We start from the raw sequence: 10,315 nt of genomic DNA, 5'->3' as shown, positions 1-10,315 counted from the left end.
ATAAGACAGGGAACTTAAATGATAAATGTTGTGTGTCTTCTGTGTTCTGACTGTTCCACTGACCAGCCATTCCTCCATTTCCCTGTCTCTGCTCATGCCTCCTTATTCTCTGAGGGACAACACTATTGAAATTAGGCCAATTAATAGCCCTGCTATGTCCTCTAAGAGTTCAAGTGAAAGGAAGTGTTGCACATCTCTTACTTTAAATCAAAAGCTAAAAATGATTAAGCTGAGTGAGGAAGACGTGTCAAAAGCTGAGATAGGCTGAAAGCTAGGTCTCTTGTGCCAGTTAACCAAGTTGTGAATGCAAAGGAAAAGTTCTTGAAGGAAATGAATAGTGCTACTCCAGTGAACACATGAATGATAAGAAAGCAAAACAGCTCTATTGACAATATGGAGAAAGTTTGAGTGGTCTGAATAGATCAACCCAGCTACAAAATTCTCTTAAGCCAAAGCCTAATCCAGAGCAAGGCCCTAACTCCCTTCATTTATATGAAGGCTGAGAGATGTGAAGAAGCTGCAGAAGAAAAGTATGAAGTTAGCAGAGGTTGGTTTATGAGGTTTAAGAAAAGAAGCCATCTCGCCTGTAATCCCAGCACTTTGGGAGGCCAAGGTGGGCGGATCACGAGGTCAGGAGATTGAGACCATCCTGGCTAACACGGTGAAACCCCGTCTCTACTAAAAATACAAAAAATTAGCCGGGCGTGGTGGCGGGTGCCTGTAGTCCCAGCTACTCGGGAGGCTGAGGCAGGAGAATGGCGTGAACCCGGGAGGCGGAGCTTGCAGTGAGCGGAGATCACGCCACTGCACTCCAGCCTGGGCGATAGAGCGAGACTCTGTCTCAAAAAAAAAGAAAGAAAGAAAGAAGGAAGGAAGGAAGGAAGGAAGGAAGGAAGGAAGGAAGAAAGAAAGAAAGAAAGAAAGAAAAAGAAAGAAAAGAAGCCATCTCCGTAACATAAACGTGCAAGGTGAAGCAGCAAGTGCTGATGTAGAAGCTGCAGCAAGTTACCCAGAAGATCTAGCTAAGATTATTGATAAAGATGGTTATACTAAACAACAGATTTTCAATGTAGATGGTAAAAGCGTTCTATTGGAAGAAAATGTCAGCTAAGACTTTTACAACTAGAGAGGTCAATACCTGGCTTCAAAGCTCCAAAGGACAGATTGACTCTCTTGTTAGAGGCTAATGCAGCCATTGACTGCATCAGCCAATGCTCATGTATCATTCTGAAAATTCTAAGGCCCTAAATAATTAGGCTAAATTCTACTCTGCCTGTGCTCTATAAATGGAACAACAAAGCCTGGATGATAGTACATCTGTTTATAGCATGGTTTACTGAATATTTTAAGCCCATTGTTGAGACCTACAGCTAAAAACAAGAGAGATTCCTTTCAAAATATTACTGCTCATTGTCAATGCACCTGGTCACCCGAGAGCTCTGATGGAGATGTACAAGGAGATTAAAATTGTTTTCATGCCTGCCAACACAACAACCATTCTGAAGCTCATGGATCAAGGAGTCATTTTGACTTTCAAATCTTATTTTTTAAGAAATATATTTTGTAAGGCTGCCATAGATAGTGATTCCTCTGATGGATCTGAGCTAAGTAAATTGCAAATCTTCTGGAAAGGATTCACCATTTTATTTCAGTTATTTTTGTGATTGAAAACAACAACTATTTTATTTATTCACAATTCTGCAGTCAGGAATTTGGGCAGGGCTCAGCTGAAATGTTTTTATGCTTCATGTGGTGTCAGTTGGGATATCCTATAAGGTTGCAGTCAGGGTCAGCTTCACAGGCATGCAAGCTGTGTAGCTGCAGAGAGTCCCACACTCAGAGGGACCTTGCAGTTAGTTTAATGCTCTGCTATTGCCATCTTAAAATTCTAAATAACTTTTGAACAATGGATTTTTCATTTCTATTTTGCACTGGGCTCCACAAATTGTGTAGCTGGTGTTGGTCATAATCAGATGGTGGCTGGGGCTGGAATATCCAGGATAGCTTCATTCACAAATCTAGGGTCTTAGTAGGGTTGGCTGGGAGGCTGGGACCTCTCTGTCTCTCTCTCTACATGACTAGCTTGGGCTTCCCCACATGGCAACTGGATAAAAATATTCATAAGCCTTCCATGTTATGAGTTTTTTCCTGTTGTCACCTCCTCCTTTTTCCAGGGTACATGCTGCTGCTGGATTAACCCCATAGAAAGTTTCAGTTCATATAGGCACACCAGATTCACAATTTTAGATACCATTAACATTCATGATTCATGGGAGGAGGCCAAAATATTAACAGGAGCTTGGAGGAAGTTGATTCCAGCTCTCCCAGATGACTTTAAGGAGTTCAAGACTTTAGTGGAGGAAGTAACTGCAGATGTGGTGGAAATAGCAAGAGAACTAGAATTAGAAGTGGAAACTGAAGATGTGACTAAATTGCTGCAATCCCATGATAAAATTTGAATGGATGAGCAGTCATCTCTCTCTCTCTCTTTTTTTTTCCTTTGCTTATGGATGAGCAAACAAAGTGGTTTCTTGAAGTGGAATCTACTTCTGGTGAAGATGCTGTAGGCATTGTTGAAATGACAACAAAAGATTTAGAACATTATATAAACAGTGGCAGGGTTTAAGAGGATTGCGTCCAACTTTGAAAGAAGTTCGGCCGGGCGCCGTGGCTCACGCCTGTAATCCCAGCACTTTGGGAGGCCGAGGCGGGCAGATCATGAGGTCAGGAGATCGAGACCATCCTGGCTAACACGGTGAAACCCCGTCTCTACTAAAAATACAAAAAATTAGCCGGGCATGGTGGTGGATGCCTGTAGTCCCAGCTACTCAGGAGGCTGAGGCAGGAGAATGGCATGAACCCAGGAGGTGGAAGTCGCAGTGAGCTAAGATTGGGCCACTGCACTCCAGCCTGGGCGACACAGCGATATTCCGTCTCAAAAAAAAAAAAAAAAAAAAAGAAAGAAGTTCTGCTGTGGCTAAAATGTTATCAAACAGCATTTTATGCTACAGATAAATCTTTTGTGAAAGGAAGTCAATCAATGTGGCAAATTTAATTGTTGTATTTTTTAGAAAATTTTTATAGCCAACCCACCCTTTAGCAGCTGCCACCTAATCAGTCAGCAGCCCTCAGTGTTGAGGCAAGATCCTCCACCAGCAAAAAGATTACTACTTGCTAAAGGCTTAGATGATCATTAGCATTTTTTAGCAATAAAATTTTTTTGTTTGTTTGTTTTTGGTTTTGGCTTTTTTTTTTTTTTTTTTTTTGAGACAGAGTCTCACTCTGTCACCCAGGCTGGAGTGCAGTGGCATGATCTTGGCTCACTGCAACTTCCGCCTCCCGGGTTCAAGCGATTGTCATGCCTTAGCCACTTGGGTGGCTGGGATTACAGGTGCGCACCACCACTATCGGCTCATTTTTGTATTTTTAGTAGAGACAGGGTTTTGCCATGTTGACCAGGCTGGTCTCAAATTCCTGGCCTTAAGTGATCTGCCCACCTTGGCTTCCCAAAATGCTAGGATTACAGGCATGAGCCACCATGCCCAGCCTACCATAAAGTATTTTTTAATTCAGGTATTGATATGGTTTGGATATGTGTTTCCTCAAAATCACATGTTAAAATGTAATCCCCAGTTGGAAATTGTTCTGGTGAGAGATGTTTGGGTCACTGGGGTAGATCCCTCGTGAATGGCTTAGTGCTGTACTTGCAATAGTGATTGAGTTCTTTATTCTGAGTTCATGGGAGATCTGGTTGTTTTAGAGTGTGGCACTTTTCCCCTTTGTTCCCTTGCTTCTGCTCTTGCCATGTGACATGCTGGCTCCCTGTCACCTTCTGCCATGATTGGAAGCTTCCTGAGGTCCTCACCAGGAGCAGATGCCAGCACCACACTTCCTATAAAGCCTGCAGAGCTGTGAGCCAATTAAATCTCTTTTTCTTTATAAATTACCGAGACTCGGGTATTTCTTTATAGTAATGCAAAAAAACAGCCTAATATAGGCACGTACTTGTTATTTTAGACATAACGCTATTGCAGACTTAACAGACTACAGTATAGTGTAAACGTAATTTCTATATGCACTGGGAAATCAAAAAAATTCATGTGATTTGCTTTATTGCAATGTTTGATTTACTGTGGTGGTTTGGAACTGAGCCCACAATATCTCCAAGGTATGCCTGTAAATTATCATAGAAGCTTGGACTCATTAGTTTAAAACTAAACACAGGCTGGATGCAGTGGCTCACTCCTGTACTGCCAGCACTTTGGGAGGCCAAGGTGGGCGGATCACAAGGTCATAAGTTCAAGAGCAGCCTGGCCAACAGCCGGGCATGGTGGCATGCACCTGTAATCCTAGCTACTTGGGAGGCCGAGGAGAAAAATTGCTTGAATCCAGGAGGCAGAGGTTCCAGTGAGCTGAGATTGCATCACTGCACTCCAGCCTGCGTGACAGAGCAAGACTCTGTCTGGGCAGTGGGGCGGGTTGGGAACTAAACATTCCATTACGGCAAAAACTAAGTGCTGTAATCTGATTTGCTAACTGTAGAATGTAAACGTGTGTGGAAAGAATGTTATCTTTGCTCCTTATTTCTCTCTAGAAAGATAAGCACAATCAGGGTATGTGGGCAAGGAATTACTCTTTGAGAGATTTAATTTTTTATTTTTATTTATTTATTTAGTTAGTTAGTTAGTTGAGACAGAGTCTGGCTCTTGTCACCCAGGCTGGAGTGTAGTGGTGCAATCTCGGCTCACTGCAACCTCAGTCCACCTCCCAGGTTCAAGCGATTCTCCTGTCTCAGTCTCCTGAGTAGCTGAAATTACAGGCACCCATCACCATGCCCGGCTAATTTTTTGTAGTTTTAGTAGAGACAGGGTTTCGCCATGTTGGTCAGGCTGGTCTCAAACTCCTGACCTCAAGTGATCCACCCGCCTCAGCCTCCCAAAGTGCTGGGATTACAGACATGAGCCACCTCGCCGGGCAAGAGATTTAATTTAAATCTCTTTGAGGAGATTTGAATTAAAATACTTTAGGAAAAAAAAATGTCCTCAGCCAGGCATGGTGGCTCATGCCTGTAATCCTGGCACTTTGGGAGGCCGAGGCAGGTGGATCACCTAAGGTTAGGAGTTCGAGACCAGCCTTGCCAACATGGTGAAACCCCGTCTCTACTAAAAAAAAAAAAAAAAAAAAAAAAAAAACCAGAATTAGCCGGGTGTGGTGGTGCATGCCTGTAATCTCAGCTACTTGGGAGGCTGAGGCAGTAGAATTCCTTGAACCCAGGAGGTGGAGGTTGTAGTGAGCTGAGATTGTGCCACTGCACTCCAGCCTAGGCAACAAGAGCTAAACTCCGTCTCAAAAAAAAAGAAAGAAAAAAAGAAAGAAAGAAAAAGAAAAGACGGCCGGGCACGGTGGCTCACGCCTGTAATCCCAGCACTTTGGGAGGCCAAGGCAGGCGGATCACGAGGTCAGGAGATCGAGACCATCCTGGCTAACACGGTGAAACCCCATCTCTACTAAAAATACAAAAGATTAGCCGGGCGTGGTGGCGGGCACCTGTAGTCCTGGCTACTTGGGAGGCTGAGGCAGGAGAATGGCGTGAACCTGGGAGGTGGAGCTTGCAGTGAGCTGAGATTGCGCCACTGCACTCCAGCCTGGGCCACAGAGCGAGATTCTGTCTCAAAAAAAAAAAAAGAAAGAACGAAAAAGAAAAAAAACTCCTCAAACCTTTAGGGATGGATGAACATGGACAAATTAGACCATCAGAATAAGAACAATGTATGTGTCAGGTAGACATTAAGTTCGTAAGAGGTTTTTAAAAACTGGCTGAGTTACATGTAAATCATGGTGAGTTCTGTAAATTTGATATACTGTCATTCAAAAGAAATATGCTGAGTACCTATATACCAGGGCCTCTGGAGGGTGCGCCTACAGAGAATTAACACTACACTATCTTTTCCCTTGAGTGAAGCAGGCAAGACAGATACTTACAGAAATAAGGTTAATAATGGGGGCATGAGAAACATGATCATATTGAAAGAATCTGGGAAGAGTCTTGCAGAAAATGGGTGAGGTAAGACCAAAGATATTAACCTGAGGATACAGAGCAGGGAGAAGAGCTTTAACAAAGGCCATGGGCAGGTGAATGTATGTGTGGGGTGAAGCAAGGAAGGGTGTGTTGAGAGCTCAGGCAAGAAAGACAGCTAGAAGCCTGTGATGGTCAGTTTTTTTTTTTTAAGACAGGGGCTTACTATGTTGCCCAGGCTGGTCTCGAACTCCTGGGCTCAAGTGATCCTCCTGCTTCGACCTCCCAAGTAACTGGGACTACAGTCATGTGCTGTTGCACCCAGCTGATGGTGAATTTTATGTGTCAACTTGAGTAGGCTGTGGTCCCAGTTATTGAATCAAACACTGGTCTAGGTGTTGCTGTAAAGGTATTTTGTAAATGTGATTAGCATTCATAATGGGTCGACTTTAAGTACAGGAGATTTTCCTAGTTAGTCTGGGTGAGCCTGATCCAATCAGTTGAAAAGCCTTAAGAGTGGAACTGAGGTTTCTGTAAGGAAAAATAAATTTCACGTGTGGAGTGCAGCTTCAGCTACTGCCCAGAATTCCAGCCTGCCCTTCCTGATGGCCTGCCCCACGGATTTCAGACCAGCCTAGCCAGCCCCCACAATGATGTAAGCCAAATCCTTACAATAAATTTCTTAATATATGTCTCATACTGGTTCTCCTTCTCTCTCTCTCTTTTTTTTTTTTTTTTGAGATGGATTTTCGCTCGCTCTTGTTGCCCAGGCTGGAGTGCAATGGCACGTTCTCGGCTGACTGCAACCTCTGCCTCCCGGTTTCAAGCGATTCTCCTGCTTCAGCCTCCCAAGTAGCTGGGATTACAGGCGTGTGCCACCACGCCCGGCTAATTTTGTATTTTTGGTAGAGACAGGGCTTCATCTTGTAGGTCAGGCTGGTCTCGAACTCCTGACCTCAGGTGATCCACCCACCTCGGCCTCCCAAAGTGCTGGGATTACAGGTGTGAGCCACTGTGCCCAGCCTGGTTCTCTTTCTCTAGTTGACCCTGACTGATATAAAACCAGATTGTGGAGGGCTTTGAATGCCAGTTTGAGAGTGCTGAGTGCAGTCCAGATGAGGGGAGCTCTGATCTAAGACCTAGAAGGAAAGGGAAGGGAAGAGCATTGATAATTCTAGAAAATGCTGAGGGATGCCCTCTTGCCCATATTTCATATTTCCAACTAACTCCAAAGCTCAAGGCCTCTGGGAAAATTATGTAAACACCCTTCTCAGTGGAAGGGCTCCCACCCTCTCCCCACCCCATGGGGTGTTTCGGTCTGGCTGGCTGTACCTCCCTTTGAGATCCCAGGCATTATAGGAGAGTCTAAATTCATCCACTTGTTCCAGTCAGTCATTTCTTCTGCAGGCATTTCTTTTTGTTGCTGTTTATTTACATTTTTTTTTTTTTTTTTTTTTTTTTTTTTTTTTTGCTGGGGCATGATAATTTTTATTTATTTATTTATTTGACAAGGTCTCACTCTGTTGCCCAGGCTGGAGTGCAGGGGCGCCATCTCAGCTCACTGCAACCTCCGTCTCCTGGGCGCAAGCAATCCTCCCACCTCAGCCTCCCAAGTGGCTGGGACTACACACGTGCACCACCACACCCAGGTAAAATTTTTTGTATTTTTTTGTAGAGACGGGGGTCTCACCATGTTGCCCAGGCTGGTCTCGAACTCCTGGCCTCAAGTGATCCACCCACCTCAGCCCCCCAAAGTGTTAGGATTACAGTTATGAGCCACCGCACCCAGCATTCTGCAGGTATTTCTTTCTTTTCTTTTTTTTTTTTTGAGAGGGAGTCTCGCTCTGTCACCCAGGCCGGAGTGCAGTGGCGCGATCTCGGCTCACTACAAGCTCTGCCTCCCGGGTTCACGCCACTCTCCTGCCTCAGCCTCCCAAGCAGCTGGGACTACAGGCGCCCGCCACCACGCCTGGCTAATTTTTTTGTATTTTTAGTAGAGACGGGGTTTCACCATGTTAGCCAGGATAGTCTTGATCTCCTGACCTCATGATCTGCCCGCCTCGGCCTCCCAAAGTGCTGGGATTATAGGAGTGAGCCACCGCGCCCGGCCTTCTGCAGGCATTTCTTGGGCAGCAACTGTGGACAAAGTACTGTACAGTGCTCAGCTTCCAGATTACAGAAATGAATAAAATGTGGCCCTTACCTCCAAGAAGCTTTACAAACAGACTTGTCGAGCACTAACTTTAACAGCAGACAGAGAGAAAGAAGCCCCCTCCTCTCCTCCCTGCAGGACCAAATCATCCTTTTCTGAGCCTGCCACTTTGATCCCTAGCACAGTGGGCTTCTTGCAGCCCAGTGGAAGATTTGACTAGCTGGGCTTCCTTTTCATCTTCAAGCAACCTGGCCCACTCCTGGGTATTAGCATTTCTTTCAGGGTATTTTCTCTTTTCTATCTCCTATGTCTGCTCCAGTTTTTCCCTCTCGAAGCTAGTGTGACCTGCTCTCATTGTTCATATTCCCTCCTTGGCCTTGTCAGCCAACCCCCAATTCAATGCCAAGTGGTGAGCTTTCAAAGGCCACCACAAAGTCTATCACAGATACAGAGACTGCCCACGCTGCAGCCCATGCCGACCTCACCGCCTCTCAGGAGTTGGCCCTTCTATTGGGGCACAGACTCCCAATCTTTTTTTTTTTTTTTTGAGACGAAGTCATGCTCTGTCACCCAGGCTGGAGTGCAATGGCGGGATCTCGGCTCACTGCAACCTCCGCCTCCTGGGTTCAAGCGATTCTCCTGCCTCAGCCTCCCGAGTAGGTGAGACTACAGGCACGTGCCACCACACCCAGCTAATTTTTTGTATTTTTAGTAGAGACGGGGTTTCACTGTGTTAGCCAGGATGGTCTCGATCTCCTGACAGACTCCCAATCTTACATTCTGAGTCTTCAGCAAGAGTGCAGGCTGTCTGAGGGAAGAGGCTATATAGCTCTTACAGTCTCTAGCATAGATCGGCCTCAGAGAAGATGCATTTTAAACACTTAAGGATTTGAATTGAAAATCTGGATTGACACTGACAGATATCTCAGGAGGTGACTTTATATATATATATTTATTTATTTATTTGAGACAGAGTCTGGCTCTGTCGCCCAGGCTGGAGTGCAGTGGCACAATCTCAGCTCACTGAAACCTCTGCCTCCCAGGTTCAAGCAATTCTCATGCATCAGCCTCCTGAGTAGCTGGGACTACAGGCACGTGCCACCACACCTGGGTACTTTTTGTATTTTTGTTTTAGTAGAGACAGGGTTTCACCAGGGGTAACGGGGTTGGCCAGGCTGATCTCGAACTCCTGACCTCAAGTGATCAGCCTGCTTCAGCCTCCCAAAGTGCTGGGATTACAGGCGTGAGCCACCATGCCCTGCCAGGAGGTGACTATTAATGGTTTCTCCAAAGACTTCAACGTAGGAGTCCTCTGAAAGAGCAGAGGACTTATACATGTAAATCATAGTTTTATTAATATAAGTCTATCTTAAAATGAGTCCTGTTCTGGAAGATTTATTTATCTCATAAAGTGAAGCTGGCTTGTTTTACCTTAGATAGGATTTGGCTGAAACCTTTAGATGTGTCTCACTCTTCAAGGGTTCCCTCGAGTTGGTTTCTTGTGAATGTAGGTGTTATTGTACAAGGACAGTATGACAGGGAGCTAGAATCATGTAGGGATTTAAAATATGGGAGGTTTCAGTCCTTCTTGACAGGTGATTAGATAAAAACAGCAGGGCCAAGTGAGCTTTGTAGTTTGTTCTGGTGCTTAAGTTTTATGAACTGGGGAGTTCTCCCAGTTTAATTACTGACTTGGGGGAATGTTGGTGATGCTGGAAGTACTTGCCTTTGTTTAAAAATGCTTAAGTGAAAGTATGATGAGAAAAGGTGCTTTTTAAAAGCTAATAGACCCTTTAGTTCAACCCATTCATTTTATATAGTAAGAAATTGATAGCCAGAGAGGGGAAGTGAATGCCCAAGGTCACACAGCTAGTTTTTGGAAGAGCTGCAAGTCGAATCAAAGTCTTCTGGCTCATGGTGTAGGGCTTTCGCTTGCAGCTTTGTTACAGAGCCAAGCTAATATGGGCTCAGGGCCGCAGGAACTGCAAATCAAATAAAAGTCTCTTTCATTGTTCAGCAGGAGAAAATCTGTCCAGTTTCTTCTTAGTTCCTTGAGTCTTTTCAGGTCCCTGGAGGCATTGTACATTCCTGCTGCGCCAGGTTAGGAAGGGGCAGGGATGCTTGTCTTTGCTGCCTTGCTTTACTAC

This window comes from Homo sapiens, chromosome X (assembly GCF_000001405.40).
Source record: "Homo sapiens chromosome X, GRCh38.p14 Primary Assembly".
In the NCBI taxonomy this organism is placed as follows: Eukaryota; Metazoa; Chordata; class Mammalia; order Primates; family Hominidae; genus Homo; species Homo sapiens.
Note: the sequence above shows the minus strand (reverse complement) of the source record.